Source organism: Homo sapiens, chromosome 15, assembly GCF_000001405.40.
Source record: "Homo sapiens chromosome 15, GRCh38.p14 Primary Assembly".
Lineage (NCBI taxonomy): Eukaryota > Metazoa > Chordata > Mammalia > Primates > Hominidae > Homo > Homo sapiens.
The window spans coordinates 82,951,674-82,972,025 of record NC_000015.10 but is presented as its reverse complement, the minus strand read 5'-3'; the positions used below and the strand labels follow the sequence as shown (position 1 = coordinate 82,972,025).

The following is a 20,352-nucleotide window of genomic DNA, read 5'->3' as shown; positions in this document are numbered from 1 at the left end:
GAGGACGCTAGCAAGCTAGCTCGAATATACAACCTTGAAGCACTTGGTTGAAACCCCAGGATAATATGGCACAGAGAATAGAAGAGGAGATTTAGGCCTGGAAAACCTTAAGGGCAGGAGTTAATGATTAAAATCTTAGTGTCCAGACATCTACCTTTGAGTAGTCTGTGTCCTGATGTACCTCTTGGAAAGATGACAGTCATAATATTACTATTGGCTGTGGCAGAAATAGCTAGTTCCCTCCCCCACCCCCATATCAGTTCTGTTCTGTCCTTGCACAGTAAAGGAAGGGTTTTGAAGCACTGGCCCAGAACTGGACTGATTTTAGCACAGTCAGAGATTAATGGCAAGAGCCATAGTTTCTTGCTTCCAAGAATCCTCTAAAATCTATTTAAAATTTTAAATAAATTCTCCACTGTAAGGTTGTTGCATCTAAAGAGAAATGTCAAAGTGAAGCTGGCTATCCATCCAGGCTGGATAGTGACACAATTACTAAAATTTATTTGAAAATGGTGTCAAAGTAGAAAAAAAAATGATACCCTTAGCAGCTCTGCCTCCTCAACAGCTTCTGTTTATCTTTCTCTGTGTCTGTGTGTGTGTGTGTGTGTGTATGTATCTGTCTCTCTTGCTCTCTCTCTCGCTATCTCTCTCTCTCTCACCTGATTCAGAATTCTTGAGAAAGGATAGGAATCACCAATGTTAGAAACGAGCCATGCCCCAGTGCCCTGTGGAAGTTAGGACTACAGGAAGGAGCACATGAGCTTCCTCTTCCCTACCCCCCATAATTTTACTTACCTGCACCTATGGCACGATCCAGAGCCCAATCTTTAGCTGAAAACATCCAGAAATCCAGAGCTGCTCATTATCAAGAATTGGGTTACGTTAACCAAGCTCATGATGTTCTCAGTAAACAGGTGCCCGTGTATTAATTTACAATGAGGAATACATCTTCCCTTTGAATGGACTGTTTTCTTCCCATCAATAATTCAGGGAGTCCCTTCCTTATGTCTGGGTATCCAGGAGTTACCAGGGGCCATGGACTATGGCTTTTCACCTCTGTGTCCTCAGCACAGGCTCTGGAACACAGCTGGTGATTAACAAATATCTGCCAAAGGGAATTGAATTTTGCCAGCGATAAGGCTTATTTATCTTGGGCCATTTTTAGACAAACAGGAGCTGGAGATATTTTTACCCACATATTATTGTAGTCAAAGGCTGTTTCTTAGCCACAACATCCATGCAAAACACAGCATGGCAAGAAGAGGCCATTTTTTTTCTTACACAGCTGACTCCATTTGAAAGAAATTTTATCTCAGAGGATTTACCTAGCAAGATATCAATCTACTTCGTTTTGTTTGTTCTCTTTTCCTTTACATTCGACATGAATGCTATAAAGGATTCTACTATGGCACAGGTAATAATAGCAAACACAACTATAGAGTCTCCACTGCCCATCCTTGAAATAGATTATTCAGTAGAAGAAGAGCAGTGCTGTCATTTACTGAGTTGTATGGGAAGTAAGGATCAAAACCAAAGATAAAAAAAGAATTATGAGTCAGTGGAGTCCAATTTAGCCTTGATGGTAATGTGAGGCATGTTATTAGGTCCATTTTCAGGGAAGATTACATTGTTTGGAAGGAAGTGTCCTATCCATTTTTCAGAGCCCTGGTGATAAAATCACTGGCGATAAGAAACCTCTCTCAGGCCCCAAAACATAGGCCTCTCCTTCTCTTGGGCCCTCTCAAATTATCTGCTGATCTAGATACTCCTAATAGTCCCCAAGCCCTGCTGACAGCTCTGTCCTCCCCCTGCCTCAGGCAAGAAAAGTTTCTGGTCAGGTTGAGGAGGTCTTGCTCAAAATTCTTCTCATTCTGCATACTCTGCATGTGCAATTGTATCTATTCCTATGGCTTCAGCTACCACCTATAAGCTGGATGGAGCCTTTGCCCCTCACTTACCATGTATGATCCTCACAGTGTTTAGGCATGAGTTATTTTCCACATGATAATCCTCTTTCACCGCCATCAGATATCCTAGGTCTCTTTTCATCCAGCTGTTGTGTTCGTTTCAGTTAAACAAACATTTATTCCATGGGTGTGGCAGGCATCTTCTGTAGTTGTTGAGGATACAAAGGTTCTATTTAAGTTAATTTTCCTCTATTTCATTTATAGAGTTTTTTATTTTTATTTTTACTATCCAGTAATTGTTGGAATTTCTAAAGTGTTAACTTTCAGTTACTGTTCTCTTTCTATCCCTGCATCTTCCCTAAGTTTATTACTATGGTTTCAATTTCATAAAGATAATTTTCAAATAAAACGTCTGGCTCCATGTCTTACCTATCTCATTTACTGTATGCACTTAGATGTCTCTTCGTCTCTTTAAGTAAACATTTATTGTAGCTTTAGTTCCTGGATCTCTAAAATGCAGAAGTGAATGAGGAGTGTTCCTTGGTCAGTAGGTGTATGTGAACCTACCCACAAAGGCTGAGGGAGCTTAGAGGACGAAGAAAGAGGCTGACAAACCCAGCTTCTCAGAGGGAAACATTTCATAGGGACTTATGAACAGAAGTGATGTCTAGGCAGCCATAAGAATCGTAGATCCCCGCATCCGCCCTTTATAAATAGCAAGCTTTTAGGGTAAAGACGTGCAGCTAGTCATGTCTTCAGACTTTCTTCCAAGATTCATGACCACTGGGGAGGTTAGGTAAGCATCTTTATGAGGGTTTATCTGTGTACAGCGTTGCTTCAAGACCTTACTGCAGAATACCTTTGTGTGTGGAGATCAAACATCATGGCAGTTTCGCCCCAAGATGGTGTGACTCTTGCCATGCAGTAGGCTGTTTTCCTACAGGAAGCTATTAAGTTATGGTGTATCGATGCAGTGCAGTTTTAAGCAGCTATTTAACATGCTTACAAACAACTATGGATAATTCTTCTGCTTCTCTATCCACTTTCTGAATTTCCTCAATGAGAATCCCTTTTCTAATCAGAAAAAACATGAGAGGACATAAGTGATGTGATCAATTATGTCTTAGAGAATAAGGTGGAAGAGAGGCAGCAGTTTGCTGTCACCTTTGCCAACATCTGCTAGCCAATCCCCCAGTATTTCTCAGACCACTTTACCTTAGATCTCTTTTTTTCCTTCCAGATAGTCTGGCTGTGAAGGCAGCTGAGATTATGATCAGCCTCGAAGCTGAAACCTATAGTTTGTCTCCACACTCCCTCTCAAAATAAAGTACTTTTTAGACTTTGAGCTGCCTAGGAAAAGGACCATATTTTGTTAATTTCTATAGCCCCAAAGCACTTAACAGTGTGTGAAACACAGTCTGAAATGATGGAATACTATGCACCTGTAAAAGGAAAGCTCTTTTTGTTCTGTTATAGGGTGATCTCTGAGATAAGTGAAGTAAGACCAACTGCAGAACAGTGTGTATAGAATACTACCATCTGGGTAAAGAAAGAGGAATTTTTAATTTCTGGAAAGATGCCTCTGGATAGGGAACTGTGTTGCTGGGGAAGAGGGGTGAGACGGAGACTTTTCACTGCAGACCCTTTTAAACCTTAAACCTGTGAATGTTTTAGTGATAAAAATAAATAAAATTTAAATCTAAACAAATGTGTTGAATGTATTTGAAATATCCAGAATAGGCAAATCCATACAGACAGAAAGCAAATTAGTGGTAGCCAAGGGCTAGGGGAGGAATGAGGACTGACTGACTAACTGGGTTTGAGGTTTCCTTGTGGGGCGATAAAATATTCTGGAACTGTATAGTGGTGATAGTTGCACAACATTGTGAAAGTACTAAATTCCGCTGTGGTTAAAATGGCCGGCCATGGTGGCTCATGCCTGTAATCCCAGCACTTTGGGAAGCTGAGGCGGGAGGATCACTTGAGCCCAGGAGTTTGAGACCAGACTGGGCAACACAGTGAGACTCTACCTCTACAAAAAAGAAATAAAAAATTTAAAAATGATTAAAATGGTAAATTTTATGTGAATTTTGTTACAATATGTTATATATATTTTTGAATGAGTGAATATGTGAATAAAATACCTATTATATTTACACATATACATTAAATGGCCTGCCTGTGCAGTGAGATATCTCTGCTTTGTGGAGTGGTTTTTTGTTTGTTTGGTTTTTTTTTTCCTGAGACAGAGTCTTGCTCTGTCACCCAGGCTGGAGTGCAGTGGTGCGATCTTGGCTCACTGCAACCTCCGCTTTCCGGGTGCAAGTGATTCTCCTGCCTCAGCCTCCTGAGTAACTGAGACTACAGATGCCCGCCACAACGCCCAGCTAATTTTTGTATTTTTAGTAGTAGAGGTGGGGTTTCACCATATTGGCCAGGCTGGTCTCGAACTCCTGACCTCGTGATCCACCCACCTCAGCCTCCGAAAGTGCTGGGATTACAGGCATGAGCCCCCGTGCCTGGCCTGCTTTGTGGAGTTTTTAATGGAAAATTCCAAACATATGCAGAAGTAGAACAGCATAATAAACCATCACATACCTACCACCTACCTTCAACAATTAGCAACTCATGGCCACACTAACTCCATTTATACCCTGACCCACTTCCCCACACCCACTGGATTGTTTTGTAGCAAACTGTATGTATTTCAGCATGTATCTCTCAACACTAAGAGCTCTTTTTTTTTAAAACTTACGTTATCATACCTAAAAAATTATTCCTTAATATAAGCAAAGAATGGTGTTCAATTTTCACAGATTTGAACATCTCACAAACACCTTTTTTATTTTTATTATTTAGTTATTTATTGAGACAGGGTCTCCCTCTGTCACCCAGGCTGGAGTGGAGTGGGGCAGTCATAGCTCACTACAGCCTTGAACTAACTCCTGGGCTCAGTTGATCCTCCTGCCTCAGCCTCCCAAGTAGCTGGGACCACAGATGTGTGCCATCATACCCAGCTAATTTTTATTTTTGTAGAGACAGGGTCTCACTATGTTGCTCAGGCTGTTGTTGAACTCGAGCAATCCTCCCACCTTGGCCTCCTAAAGTACTGGGATTACAGGTGTGAGCCACCGTATCCAGCCACAAACATCCTTTTTAGAGTTGACTTGTTGCTTTGTGGTTTTAAAGAGACCAAACTACTTTTCTCAGAACTGACCTAGTAAGTTCATTCTCAGCCATCATGAAATCTTGAGGAAGTTAAAGTTTCTTATCTGAAGATGACTGAAGTTGGACAAGATGCTATTAGTTTCATTCACACTCACGTTTTCTAAAGAGTTTCTGAGAAACAACTTTGCTCACTGTAACCCACAATGCTGTGTGGCAGTAGATGTCAGTCATGAAATGCCAGTGAGACCACTGAAATCCTAATCCGAGAGGTCCCAGGTTAACCCTGCAAGTCACCAGGAGGAACCTCTCTATTCTACCTCTTGGCTATTAGTATCTTAACATTTTCCCGCCTTTGTTTTATGCAATTCTGGGTGACTCCTTTTTCTGCTGGAGGCTCCTAGTAAAATTCACTTTTGCACACTGTCCAAACTAGTATCCTAGGTTGTCAACCTCCCTAAGAGTCAGGGAGCAACAGGGTGTGCACTGGAGTCATAGGCTGCAGCTAAGGCTGTCTTAAAGAAATTGTGAAGTTTGACTGTTTTCTTTCCCCCCCTTTTATTCTGTTTTTATAATATACTTACTGACCCACATAGGCATGTATTTCTATATAATCTGTTACAAGGTTGACTTGATTCTTTTATTTTCCTCTTTCTCCGTGTTTTAGTGAACTTTCCCCTTCATCTTGGGCCTGTTACTCTCACCTGTACCTCCACTTTTCCTCCCACATACTTTGAGCTCCAGCACAATGGCTCCCTTCAGCTTATGCTTACTCCTTGCATTCACCCCTCAATTCTACCATACTCCCAATGCCAACTTTGTTATACCCTCTAAAGTGACCCCTCTTTTTTAGGGGACAGGGTCTCACTCTGTCACCCAGGCTGGAGTGCAATGGCACAATCTTGGCTCACCACAGCCTCGACCTGCTGGGCTGAAGCCGTACTCCTGCCTTAACCTCCTCATCCCCCAATAGCAGGGACTACAGGTGCATGCCACCATGGCTGGCTAATTTTTGTATTTTTTGTAATGATGGGTTTCGCCATATTGCCCAGGTTGGCCTTGAACTCCTGGGCTCAAGCGATCCTCCCATCTCGGCCTCCAAAAGTGCTGGAATTACAGGCCTGAGCTACCACAACTGGCCCCATGACCCCTCTTTTATCTGCTGGAAAATAAAAAAAAAAAAAAGGGCTTTGAGGACCCACTTCTCTTCAGGAGCCAATGCACTCTGCTGCTTGATAATAGCCCAATGTGTGCCTTTAATTCTCACCACAGCCTTTGAGAGGAGGTACCAATATTGCCCATTTTACAGCTAGGGAACTTGAGGTACAGGGAAGTTAGGTAACACGTCTGAGGTTAATAAGTATGGGAGGCCAAATACAAATCCAGACAACCTTCTCACTTAACCACTATGCTCTACCCCTTAACCCCAATAAGTGATTTTTATGGTTTTAGAGAATAGTACCTCAGAGGTAGGAGATATTTACCTGAGATCAAGCAAAGTAGCAACTGCTTACTTCTATTAGGTCAGATTGGCTTTGGGTAACAGTATCTTTTATTTCAGCATTTCCTAAAATGTTCTCTGGAAAACTACCTAAGGTTTAATTGCGAATAAATTCATCTAATTTAGAAAATATAGGCTGGGCACAGTGGCTCATGCCTGTAACATCAGTACTTTGGGAGGCTGAGATGGGAGGATCACTTGAGGCTAGCAGTTAGAGACGAGCCTGGGCAACATAGTGAGACCTCGTCTCTACAAAAAATACAAAAGTTAGCGGGTGTAGTGGTGTGTGCCTGTAGTCCCAGCTAATAGAGAAGCTGAGGCAGGAGGATCCCTTGAGCCCAGGAGTTCAGGACTGCGGTGAGCTAGGATGGCACCACTGCACTCCAGCCTGGACAATGCAGTGAGACCCTGTCTCAAAAAAAAGAAAATATAGTAAATTGTGTTCATTTATTGGAATTTCCTAAGTCTACATTGACATATTAAAGGTCCTAAAAACAAAGAATAAAGAAACTTATTTCACTTTGTTTAGCATAGTATTTCCCAAACCTATGGAGCACGGAACCTTTTCCTGCTGCATAACACTTGTTGACTTCCCATGGAAACACTGCTTTCTGTAAACTTTCTGAAGTGAAGATAAATAGGGATTATTTCAGAAATTTTGTTTTGTTTTGTTTTGTTTTTTTGAGATGGAGTCTCACTTTGTCACCCAGGCCGGAGTGCAGTGGTGTGATCTTGGCTCCAGTGGTGCAACCTCTGCCTCCCCAGTTCAAGCAATTCTCCTGCCTTAGCCTCTCGAGTAGCTGGGATTACAGGTGCAAACCACTGCGCCCGGTTAATTTTCATATTTTTAGTAGACACGGGGTTTTACCATGTTGGCCAGGCTGGTCTCGAACTCCTGACCTCAAGTGATCTGCCCACCTTGGCCTCCCAAAGTGTTGGGATTACAGGCGTGAGCCACCATGCCTAGCAGAAATTGTGTTTTAATTAAAACAAAGCCTAACTGGCTAAATTAATTATAGGTCCAGCTTGACCTGTAAGAAATAAGCAGTTGCTTAATTAAAACATCTGACTCTCTAGCCAAATGGCATTCACCAGCCTGTTTTATTGTAACCCTTTCTGATCTGGAGGAGTTTTAGGAAGGGAGTGGTGATGATACAATTGTGCCATATGTAGGCAGGGGGACGCGCTGGAGCAGCCTGAACGTGAATGAACCTCCCAGGCTTCATTCGGCAAGCCTGTATCAGGAGGGCCCCAAGGTTAAATTTCAGCTCTGACAATTATAGTTGGTGTCCAGTGTCTTCCTCTGTAAACACTGATCTCAGATTTGGTAGATATAAATTGCCCAAGTTATTTCTATAAAATGACCCAGCTGGATCTAAAGGTAGAATCTAATGTCACCAGCTCTCTGTAGTCATTTCCTAATTAATATCTGGCCAAAGAATACCTGGTTCTTTAGTTCTAAATTAGGACTACATCTCATCGTCAGTGCTCAGTTGTAGGGAAGCAGCCAGGGCATGGGGCTGCCAGAACTTGGGATCATCCAAGGCTTTTGGCAGCAGAGGTGGAAGTAAGAGGCCCTGCATGGAGGATGTTGGAGGAGGAAAGGCCAAATTTGCAGAAGCAGCAGGCCCATGGGAGTTTTGAGGGTTGGTAAAAGCAGCCAGTGGTCTGAGGAGCTCCCAAGATCCCATGATAAGACTGCCTGGGAGCCTTTACCTTCACAGCTCCAGGCAGCTAGGTCAGCCCCTCTTTGCTAATGGAACACTCCAGTTCATTCTTTCCCAAATTTGCCTTTTGTAAGAATCACTCCAGGTGCTTATTAAACATGCATATTCCCACACCCCATCCCAGAAGTATTGAATCGGAATGTTTAATGGATGCCTGTGTGATTCATACGATGAGGCAAGTTTGGGGAAACACTGTTCTTTCTAGTTGCTCAAAGGCTCTTACTCAGTAGTAATGGGCTCAGTCTATTCCTTCTAGTGCTTTTGTTTCCTATCAGCTAATTTTTTAGCCTGACTGGGGACTCCACAAGGGTCCATGTCATTTCAGAAGAGATGGCAGACCCAGTGCGGTGGCTCATGCCTGTAATCCCAGCACTTCGAGGGGCTGAGGCAGGAGGATCACTTGAGCCTAGGTGTTTGAGACCATCGTGGGCAACATAGGGAGATCCCATATCTACAAAAACTTAAAAAAAAAAATTAGCTAGGCTTGGTGGCATGCACCTGTAATCCCAGCTATTCGGGAGGCTAAGGCAGGAGGATTGCCTGAGCCCAGGTGTTCAAGGCTGCAGTGAGCTATGATTGCACCACTACACGCTAGCCTGGGCAACAACAACAAGAAGACAAGGTTTCACCATGTTGGCCAGGATGGTCTCAATCTCTTGACCTCGTGATCTGCCTGCCTCAGCCTCCCAAAGTGCTAGGATTACAGGTGTGAGCTACTGTGCCCAGCCGGCAAGGCCTCATTCTTATTTTCTTTAGGGTCTTTGGGCTTTTAGCCCCTCTGGGCAAGGTCAAGTCTAGCCTGATGTTGGGTCCCAGCTAGACTAAGTTTATGTTTTCTCCCTTTTCTCTTGGTTAGCTTTACCCCTCTTGTTTTAATAAAAAGTAGTTTAGAAGTGGTTTGATGGACTGATATTGGTGTCACTGTGGTACCTTTTATATTAAACCTCTTATCTGCTTTAATTAGCCAAGAGTATGAGGCATATACTATGTTCAGAATTAGGAACAAAAAGTGAACTAGGCATGTCCCCACTTCCCGGACTTTTTTTTTTGAGACAGAGTCTCACTCTGTTGCCCAGGCTGGAGTGCAATAGCACAATATCGGCTTGCTGCAACCTCCACCTCCCGGGTTCAAGCAATTCTCCTACCTCAGCCTCCTGAGTAGCTGGGATTATAGGCGCACGCCACCAAACCCGGCTAATTTTTATATTTTTAGTAGAGACAGCATTTCGCCGTGTTGGTCAGGCTGGTCTCAAAGTCCTGACTTCAGGTGATCTGCCTGCGTCAGCCTCCCACGGTGCTGCAATTACAGGTGTGAGCCACCATGCCCGGCCTCTGGACATTTTTTTTTTTTTTTTTTTTTTGAGACGGAGTCTCGCTCTGTCGCCCAGGCTGGAGTGCAGTGGCGCAATCTCAGCTCACTGCAAGCTCCACCTCCCAGGTTCGAGCCATTCTCCTGCCTCAGCCTCCCGAGTAGCTGGGACTAGCCTGCCACTGCACCCGGCTAATTTTTCGTATTTTTAGTAGAGACGGGGTTTCACCGTGTTAGCCAGGATGGTCTCGATCTCCTGACCTCGTGATCCGCCCGCCTCGGACTCCCAAAGTGCTGGCATTACGGGTGTGAGTCACCGCACCCGGCCTGGACATTTTTTAAAAGTTTGTGTGGGCTGGGTGCAGTGGCTCACATCTGTAATTCCAGCACTTTGGGAGGCCGAGGTGGGTGGATCACCTGAGGTCACAGGTTTGAGACCAGCCTGGCCAACATGGTGAAACCCCATCTCTACTAAAAATACAAAAATTAGCCAGGTTTGGTGGCAGGCACCTGTAATCCCAGCTACTTGGGAGGCTGAGGCAGGAGAATCGCTTGAGCCAGGGAGGCAGAGGTTGCAGTGAGCCAAGATCACGCCTCTGCACTCCAGGCTGGGCCACTCTATCTCAAAATAAAAAACAAAAACTTATGTTGGTTTGGGATAATGGAGAAGTTCTGGAGATGGATAGTGGTGAGGATTGCACAATAATGTGAATATACTTAGTGCCACTTAAATCTACACTTAAAAAGGATTAAAATGGTAAGTTTTATTGTTATGTATATTTTGCCACAATTAAAAAAAAAACTTGTTTAGGAGACAGTATATCCAAGAACCAACTGAGGAAGACATTTTTACAAAGTGATAAACCAGTGAAGCACAGGAATTTAAAGGGATACTTGAGTAAAGTAGATTGAACACTCAGCTTTTGTGATAGTTTTGAAGAAGGTAAAGAATCAGTAGATTGGAGAATTATGCAAATGGAGAGATGGCATGTGCCAAGAGAACAATAAGTCATATGTAATTGAAAGCAAATTTCTAAAAGGAGGGGTCTGTCACAGAGGCAACCCTCATAGTACCCCCCAACCTGCGCACGGGAAGTGTTTGCTGGGTAGATGAGGGGATGAGGAACCCAAAGAAAATGGTGAAAGAGGAAATCTGTATGAGTAAGTGGGGACTGTGAGAGATTAACCAGCCTCTTGCTTTGTGTGAGTAGAAGTGTATTGTCTTGATTCCAAGTGACTTTCTGGAAACTGTTGTGGTATTGTAGCTCGGAAGTGACAGAAAGGAAACTCCTGGAGACCCTGCGGGGCAAGCAGTTGGAGAGATGGTGGAAATGCCACCTCACTGGTCTGCTCATTTGGGGCCAACAGCCAGATAAGGCATCTCTGCCCTACACAGAAGCTGGGAAAGAGCTGGAGGTGGACCTTGGAGCAGAAGCCAGGTCTTACAGGGAGCCCAGCACAGGCCAGGGCTTTGTGGAACAGACAAAGTCTAAAGCCTGCTGGGCAGCTGAGGTGAAGGTAGCTTCCTGCAAAGGTGTTCCTCACTATGAGGACCCCAGATTTCCAGAAGACCTCACATAGAGCAACTGGTGGATCAGCTGAAGCAAAGATTCTAGGAACCAGAACTACCACCGAGGCCTCCCAGATGGGGCTGGAGAAGAGAGTAGGAGTGGAGCCGGGTGCCTGATAAGCTAACCATGCCAGCCACACCATCTGTAGCTAGGCTGGCGCATAGTAGGTGTTCAGTAAATATTTGCTACATTTGAATTGAAAACCCACTTGTTTCTATTTTGTATTAATTGCTTTTTGTTTGTTTTTGTTTGCTCTTAGTATACTGGCAAGGAGTTATCTCGCTTTTTAAAAAGTTGATATTTAATTCAGTGAAATCATGCTGAAGGGGAATTGATCCACATTAGAACAGAATGGCCCCTTGGATACTAACGGCCACTTTGTCATCCTCACAGGCTCACTTTCCTCCCTGGTGATTCCCTCAATATCACCCTCAGCCCCACCTCTGTTCAACACACACTTCCCAGGTTCAGATACTGACTTGCTGATGGCTCCCAAGTCTCCCTTCCAAGCTGTGTACCTATAATATCTAACTGCCCACTGGACATCTCCTCTTATTTGTTCCTCAGATTCCTGCATCTCAGCATGTCCAAAATTGCACTCATTATCTCACTTCTCTGACTTGCTGCTGCTGCTTCTCCCCCTCTTGAGAGGTATCACCCTCTACCCAACGTCTCCGGTTGGAAGCCTCAGCTATATATGACTCCATCATTTTCTTAACTCATCCCTAGTGTTGCTGAGTCTCCCTCAGGCATGGCTGTCAATTCCAGCCTCACCCATCTGAACCTGACCCATGCCAGCTTTCCAGATATACACACAGGCACCTTCTCGTTGTGCTGCTGCCAATCGGAGGCAAATAATCCTTAGAACTCCAGGCTCTCTCAGAGAAAGTTAGGCGACTTCAGAATTAATTCCTTCTGCTATGTGTTCACAGGAGGTACTGCACCTCCCTGGCCTTACAAATTCTTTGGATTTCTTCGTTCTTCTCCGGAACCCTAAATCTCATACAAGCCCAGCCAGTGAGCTGGGTGTCCTCCTTTTTGTTCCACCAGTTCCTAAACTCTTGGGGCTCTGGGTATCACACCTACTTCTCTTTGAACACCAAGACTTGGGCAGTGGTTCTCAACCCTGGCTGCGCATCGGAATCATAATCAGTTTAAAGGATTGCCGATGCCTGGGCACCACTCAAACCAATTAAATCATTCTTACTGGAGGTGGGGCCCTGGCACTGGTATTTTGTCAAGTCTCCAGAAGTGATTTTAATGTTCAGCCAAGGTTGAGAATGACTGGCTTAATGCGTATACTTCCACCATCTATGCCTTGGATCCTCAGAACTGTGCCCACTCTCCAGACCGGCCCTTTCAAGTTCTTCTCCAGGAATTGCTTAACCTGCAATGACTGTGCTCTGCCTTCAACTACCTATTATCCAACAGCCACTCTGTGCATGCCAATGGGAAACAAGTATAACTATATGCTGACAGTGGGCAGTGTTATGTTTTGGCCACCACCCTGAATCTATTTACCTTGATTTTCCTCTAGGTGTCCGCCCCAGTCCTACACCCACTTCATGCCTTCTGTGAGAAGCTGCCTCCACACCTCAGCCCAGACTGAGCCAATCAGGACATTCCATTCCCCTGGCCACAGTGATGGGCTCAGGAATCGGCCTGTGCCCCAAGGCAGGGCAGTCAGACACGGCGAGGCTTAGTTCGGAGACTTTGGCTTGACCTGTTTGGGAATTTGCTAGACTTGAATGTGAGTTGGGAGTCCAGAAGAGAGCTTACCTGAGGATGGAGCCAAACAGAACAAGAAAAACCCAGGAGGGACCCTGCCCTTGAAGACCATAGTCTAGTGGAGGAGACACCTTTTGATAGGGGTAAGGGTGACAATGAGTGTGATAGCTCAGAGCATGGGGCAGCATAATCAGGATGCCCCTGGGGGCACTTGCAGCTGGCTGGGCTATTCATCTGGTCATTTCTATTTTTGCCTCTTGGAATTGAATTCTGCTGGGAGGCAGCCAGTGAGGTCCAAAGTCCTCTCCTCAAGGTTGTTGGATTGTTTGATGATTGACTCCCCACCCGTTCCCAGCAGCTGCAGCTTCCCAGGCCCTTGCATTGCCAGAGCTCCCTGGCTCTTCTCTCTAATCAGGCTCCCAGCCTCACTGGGGGCTGATTAAGACATTTCCTGTCCTTCCCCAATCTTGGAGTCTTGCTAAGATCCTCCTGACAAGCTTCTCCTGCCTCCAGCCTGCCTTTCCACAACCTTCTCCCATCTGCTGCCAGAGAAGCTAAGACACAAGTCTGATCATGCCACCCTCCTACTTCAAAATCTCCACTAACTCCCTGAGGCCTCAGAATCAAGTCCAAACTCCTAACATGACCCGGAGGTCTTTCACAGAGTGGTCCCAACTTACCTCTTGTTCCTGGCCACTTCCTACCACACTGTTGAGCCAAGCACATGGACATTCTTGTCGTTTCCTGTTTAAGTCATGGCCTTTAATGCCTCCGTGTCTCAGCATGTGCTGGTCTCGTTGCTGGACATAGAAATGATCTTCCCTCCTGTACATCCTTGAGGACCCAACTCACACATCCCCTTTTTGAAGTCTTCTGCAGGAACTACCTTATTCATACCTCGGTTACATTATATTTAGCTTATTGTTTAAGGACACAGACTGGCTCAAAATAGGTGCTCAGTTAAGATTAAATAAATGGGTAGGCCGGGCTCGGTGGCTCACGCCTATAATTCCAGCACTTTGGGAGGCCGAGGCAGGCGGATCATGAGGTCAGGAGTTCGAGACCAGCCTGGCCAACATGGTGAAACCCCGTCTCTACTAAAAATACAAAAAAGTAGCCGGGCATGGTGGCGCATGCCTCTAATCCGAGCTACTTGGGAGGCTGAGGCAGAAGAATCGCTTGAACCCGGGAGGCAGAGGTTGCAGTGAGTGGAGGTCGCGCCACTGCACTCCAGCCTGGGTGACAGTGTGAGACTCCGTCTTAAATAAATAAATAAAGAAAAATGGGTAGATGCTATCAAAATCTCTGGAGGCATCCAGGACACATAGACTTAGGAGAGCCCTGGATGGGAGAGGCAGAGGACAGATGGGACTGTTGGAAATCGTTTATAGCTCACCTTCCTAAGGGCAGGCCCTTGGCCTGATTGGAAACAGCAGGGGCTAGGGCTGGTGGTCCCATACTGATCTGGTGTCATCTTAAAGAGACAGCCCATAGTCTTCTCTGATCCTTAGGTGCCCTGTAGAGGGGTCCTGAATCTATGGAGGGCTCTGGATACAGATTGGCAAAGTGTTATCTGGCAGGAAGTACACAAGCTGTTTCCATGGTGGGGGCAGATTGAGAATCCTCAAACTGTACTAAATTTTAAAATGTTGATTATATAAGAACCATTTTGACAATATTAATTCAGTCACAATAAATGAAAATTTCACCCTAGTTCCACCATTATAGCCAGTAATAATAATAATAATACCTGTAATGTATTGAAGATGTACTATACTAGGGACTGAGCTAAGCACTTTACAGATATGATCTCATTCACTCTGTTTTTTTTTTTTTTTGAGACGGAGTCTCACTTCTGTTGCCCGTGCTAGAGTGCAGTGACACAGTATCTTGGCTCACTGCAACCTCTGCCTCCTGGGTTCAAGTGATTCTCCTGCCTCAGCCTCCCGAGTAGCTGGGATTACAGGCATGTGCCACCATGCCCAGCTAATTTTTATATTTTCAGTAGAGACAGGGTTTCACCATGTTGGTCAGGCTGGTCTTGAACTCCTGACCTCAGGTGATCTACCCGGCTCAGCCTCCCAAAGTGCTAGGATTACAGGTGTGTGCCACCACACCTGTTCTCATTCACTCTTCTTAATAGTCCAAAGAGATATCGCCACTTCGTAGATTAGAGCGCTGAGGCTCAGAGAAGTTAAAAACTTGCCCGTGGTCACAGATAGTCAATGGTAGATCCAGGACTTAATGCAGGTCTGAGTCTAATACTGATGCCTTTACCCTATATTCCTTCTGCCATCCTAATAAACTTTTTCATTTTCTATACTCCAGGCCTTGTCCATATTTTCTAATTTTACATAATTATACTCATAGCACAGCTGTAATTCAGATTATTTTACAAACTTAACTTTATATCCTAATACACATCCCATCCACCAAGTCTTATTGAGTCTACCTCTAAAATATCTATAATCTGTAATCCACTTCCCTTCATCTCCACCCTTATCTTTTGTCTAGAGCCTCTTAACCAGTCTCCATGTTTTACTCTTGTCCCCTTCTTATCCCCTCTTCTCCCAGGAGTGAGTGATATTTTAACAATATAAACCAGATCACGGCATTCCCCAACCCATCAGTGGGTTCTCACTGCATTTGAATAAATTGCAAATCCTTAATCCAGCCAAAGGGCCCTGCATACTTCACCCATGCTTTGCTAAGCTCACTGCACTCTAACCACACTGGCCTTCTCCCAGCTCTTCAGAACAGCATGATTCTCTACCACCTCAGGGCCGTTGCAGTTTCCTCTGCTTGGAACCCTCCCCTCATGCTCCCCATGACTGATGCTTCTTTGTCTTCAAGCCTCTTCTTTTTTTTTTTTTTTTTTGAGATGGAGTCTCAATCTGTCACCCAGGCTGGAGTGCAGTGATGCAATCTCAGCTCACTGCAACCTCTGCCTCCTGAGTTCAAGTGATTCTCCTGCCTCAGCCTCCTAATTAGCTGGGATTACAGGCATGTACCACCATGCCTGGCTAGGTTTTGTATTTTTAGTAAAGATGGGGTTTTGCCATGTTGGCCAGGCTGGTCTTGAACTCCTGGCCTCAAGTGATCTGCCTGCCTTGGCCTCCCAAAGTGCTGGGACTACAGTCATGAGCCACCACACCCAGCCATCAGGCCTCTTTTTAAATGTCTCTTCAACAGGCCATTCCTGACCATCCTCCTCAACCTAAATTAGGTCTCCTATTCACACAGATCGTAGCTTATATATTTGTGTGATTATTTGATTAATACCATTCACACAATCTTATAGTCCTATGACAGAAGGACGTCTGTTTTGCTGAGCACTTTATGCCCAACACAGTACCAGATACACAGCAGGTGATCAACATTTATTGAAAGAATAAATATATTTCTATGTTACTATATAGGCTTCACAAATATAATGTAATAGCTGCATAATACCCGACAGTTATCCCTTTAATTAATGGCTTTAATAATACATTTGTTTCATATGCAGTTGAAAGAACTGACCTTTTATGGTTAGAAAAAAAAATGTTTGAAGTCCCTGGACCAGCCATACCAGAAATCTGAGCACACTAATAACAACATTATGCATGTACATGGTGAGCCTAATTTTGCTGTTGAAAGTAAAAATACAGGCCGGGCATGGTGGCTCACGCCTATAATCCCAGCACTTTGGGAGGCCGAGGCAGGCGGATCACAAGGTCTGGAGATCGAGACCATCCTAGCTAACATGGTGAAACCCCATCTCTACTAAAACTACAAAAAAGTAGCCAGGTGTGGTGGCATGCGCTTGTAGCCCCAGCTACTCGGGAGGCTGAGGCAGGAGAATTGCATGAACCCAGGAGGCAGAAGTTGCAGTGAGCCAAGATTGCGCCACTGCACTCCAGCCTGGGCAACAGAGTGAGACTCCGTCTCAAAAAAAAAAAAAAAAGAAAAAGAAAAAGAAAGTAAAAATACGTAGATTATAGGTTTTGAAATCAATTTAGTAGGTTATGAGCAGTACTGCTTTTAAAAATAGAACAGAATGGGCCGGGCACGGTGGCACACGCCTGTAATCCCAGCACTTTGGGAGGCTGAGGTGGGCCGATCACGAGGTCAAGAGATGGAGACCATCCTGGCCAACATGGTGAAATCCTGTCTCTACTAAAAATACAAAAATTAGCTGGGGTGGTGGTGCGCGCCTGTAGTCCCAGCTACTTGGGAGGCTGAGGCAGGAGAATCGCTTGAACCTGGGAGGCGGAGGTTGTGGTGCCCTGAGATCATGCCACTGCACTCCAGCCTGGTGACAGAGCAACACTCTGTCTCAACAACAACAACAACAAAACAGAATGATGTCTGAATGCCTGCCTGGCAAGTGAGAGGATAAACATTGTTTTATATAACTTTTTGTTTCTATTTTATATCGATATACCTATAGACATAGTATGTATGTGCTGAAGTATGTACCAGGTTGCAGGTTGTAGTGTAAAATATATTTCTTACTGTGGATTGTAGTTTAAAAAAATGAAAAACTCGGCCAGGCACGGTGGCTCATGCCTGTAGTCCCAGCCCTTTGGGAGGCCGAGGCGGGTGGATCACGAGGTCAGGAGATCGAAACATGGTGAAACCCTGTCTCTACTAAAAATACAAAAAAAAAAAAAAACTGGGCGTGGTGGCATGCGCCTGCAGTCGCAGCTACTGGGGAGGCTGAGGCAGTAGAATCGCTTGAATCTGGGAGGTGGGGGTTGCAGTGAGCCGAGATCACGCCACTGCCACTGCACTCTAGCCTGGGTGAGCAGAGTGAGACTCCGTCTCAAAAAAAAAATAATAAAAATAAAATAAAAATGAAAAACTCTGATTTCAGTGGCTTGCCTTTGAAGTTATTCGAACACTTCAGAATCCTCAGGTATTACCTGATAAATGACTTGTTCAGTGTTCTACAAGCTCACTTTCCTGATATTGCTGATTACTATGCATGGAGGATTTGGAAACTCCCAAGATTATTTTATTTTTTACAAACTTATTTTGTATTTATTTATTTATTTTTTTGAGACAGTCTGGCTCTTTTCACCAGGCTAGAGTGCAGTGGCATGATCTCGGCTCGCTGCAACCCCTGCCTCCTGGGTTCAAGCGATTCTCCTGCATCAAGCCTCCCGAGTAGCTGGGAGTAGCTGGGACTACAGGAGCACGCCACCACACCCGGCTATTTATGTATTTAATTAATTAATTTATTTATTTTTTGAGACGGAGTCTCGCTCTGTTGCCCAGGCTGGAGTGCAGTGGTGCGATCTCGGCTCACTACAAGATCCGCCTTCCAGGTTCACGCGATTCTTGTGCGTCAGCCTCCGGAGTAGCTGGGACTACAGGCGCCTGTCTCCACGCCCGGCTAATTTTTTTTGTGTGTGTGTATTTTTAGTAGAGACGGGGTTTCACCGTGTTAGCCAGGATGGCCTCGATCTCCAGACCTCGTGATTCGCCCGCCTCGGCCTCCCAAAGTGCTGGGATTACAGGCGTGAGCCACCGCGCCCGACCTGTCCCTTGACTTTTTTACTGTCCTGAGATGCCAGGCTTATGTGGGCGGTGTGTTCCCAGCAGAAGATGATCCCGTGGAAGTCCCGGGGGATGAAGGTTAGGTTAGTCCCAGTGCCAGCCTTTGGTAGAAACTCAGGACCTGATAGGTAGAAAGGCGACGAAGAGAGCCTGCTCTTCTTCAAGTTCTACTTTTGCCATCCTAATTCCCCTCGCTCTAAGGATAAAACCAAGCTTGATGAAGCCGCCTTAAAACTGCCCCTTCAAGTGGGAGCCCTCATCTCATTTTTATCCAGGAAAGAGCCCAGAGCATCTGCCGCGGCCTGTAGGCTCTTCTCTGCCAGGCTGGCTTCCGAAATTTCACGGTGGCGGGTACCTTAAGGCCACTCGGCCGGGCAACTGGCAGGAAGATGAAGGTGGGCTTTAAGGAGGAGCACAGCTATGCCCATCTCAGACTCTGGAGACCCGAACGAACTCTAATCTGAATGTGTGACCTTGGGCAAATCACTTACCCTCCCCAGGCCTCGGTTCCCTTATCTGCAAAGTAAAGGTAGCCCTAAAGTCCCCGCCAGGTGTGAATGGGACTTTAAGTCCATCAGGCAGGATGTTGATGGCACTGCGCCAGGGCCCCGGGTCGGCGTGGGGCGGGGGCGCGCCAACGCGGGGCCGGCACCGAGGACTGGGTGGCCCGGGAGAAAAGCGGCGACTGCGCGGCTGCGCGGGGGACGGTGCACACAGTGCTGCGCCCCCCGCCTCTTGGCTCGCTGCCGCGGCCCGGGGGCCACGAGGTTACGTAAGGAGCCGGGCGGGGGTAGCGGCTGGGGAGGGCGGGGCGGGCACCGCCCCAGCGCGGCCGCCCAGCCCCCGCCCGCCCGCGCCTGGCGGCGGTGGCGGCAGTGGCAGCAGTGGCAGCCGCGCAGCCCCGCGGAATGGAGCGGCGCCGGGGCTGAGCCGGGCGCGCACGGGCCGCCGCATGTGCCGCGCGGGGAGCGGCTGCCGAGCGGGCGGAGAGCGAGCGCGAGAGGCCCCGTCGGAGCGGCCGCCGGAGCAGCGCCGGAGATGGGGTGAGTGAGCCCGCGCCGCGCGCTCTCCGCGCGCCCCTCCGGAGGGACTGCGGGGCCGCGGCTGGCGTAACCGGGCTCGGAGCCTCCCGGCGGGCCGGCCCCCGCCTCCCCAAGCCGGAGCGAGCGCACACTCTGCGCCCGGGAGTCTGGGGCCACCTGACCCGCGCCCTCCGCCGGGGCACGCGGACACCCAGCAGGGGCACCCTGGCCTGGGCGCGGAGCCCGTGGCCCTTCCCCTCCCATACAGCCCGGGCACGGGGGCACCTGACGGGGACCGGTGCCCTGGCCGGCCTCCTGCCTCGGCCATTCCGCGGTCTCTTCGCCCCTGGGCGCAGTCAACTCCAGGGCCTGTGTGAGTCTAAGCAGTTTGTCGTTCTCCACGTTTGGATTTATTACAAGCAAAATGGAAATCGAAGTTTTCCTGGAAATAATCAAATAATAATAAACCTCCAGCGTAGGAATAGTGGACTTTGGATCTGCTTTGAGATGCTGAAGATGATGGAAGTCTATAAGGAACCTAGGTGAGGCTTCAGTCTTTGAAACAACTGAGTAGATGCTCAGGAGGGAAGTTGAAATACTCTGTCGAAGTGACTAATGCTTCTGAGTATATAAAGTAATTTAAGCTTTCCCCTCGGCGTCTCTCTGAGCAGTAGGCTCTGTGAGTCTGGGAGCCACTGTGCTAATAGCACAATAACTCCTTACATCTGCTCACTCTATTTGGGCACACGTTGACGGTTTGCCATACGTATTCAGGGGACACTTATGTCCACTTTACAGATGAGGAAACTGAGGCACAAAGTGGTTCGGTGACTTCCCCCAGGCTGTGTAGTTGATGAGCATTTGTGTAGCAGGGGTGG

At 46.5% G+C, this 20,352-nt stretch overlaps 1 protein-coding gene across 13 annotated transcripts in view, besides 2 other annotated features; it reads left to right on the top strand.

Moving 5' to 3' along the window:
• Positions 1–20,352, top strand: part of HOMER2 (homer scaffold protein 2) — a 151,497-nt gene that overhangs the window by 14,132 nt on the left and 117,013 nt on the right. For 5 of the 13 annotated variants that reach the window (XM_047433359.1, XM_047433358.1, XM_047433355.1 and 2 more), the window contains exon 1: positions 19,306–19,495. The exons of 3 other annotated variants lie outside the window; for them this stretch is intronic. In XM_047433359.1, coding sequence (XP_047289315.1) covers positions 19,491–19,495 — 5 coding nt within the window. In that variant the 5' untranslated portion in view covers positions 19,306–19,490. 5 more of the 13 variants (XM_047433356.1, XM_011522232.3, XM_047433357.1 and 2 more) reach the window with 2 other exon arrangements.
• Positions 8,130–8,630: an enhancer, noted in NCBI's record as "H3K27ac hESC enhancer chr15:83632148-83632648 (GRCh37/hg19 assembly coordinates)". NCBI's record gives its function as "activates a minimal SCP1, AML or CMV promoter by ChIP-STARR-seq in primed H9 embryonic stem cells {active_cell/tissue: H9 hESC(primed)}" and the evidence as "EXISTENCE:reporter gene assay evidence [ECO:0000049][PMID:30033119]".
• Positions 19,556–20,056: an enhancer, noted in NCBI's record as "H3K27ac hESC enhancer chr15:83620722-83621222 (GRCh37/hg19 assembly coordinates)". NCBI's record gives its function as "activates a minimal SCP1, AML or CMV promoter by ChIP-STARR-seq in naive H9 embryonic stem cells {active_cell/tissue: H9 hESC(naive)}" and the evidence as "EXISTENCE:reporter gene assay evidence [ECO:0000049][PMID:30033119]".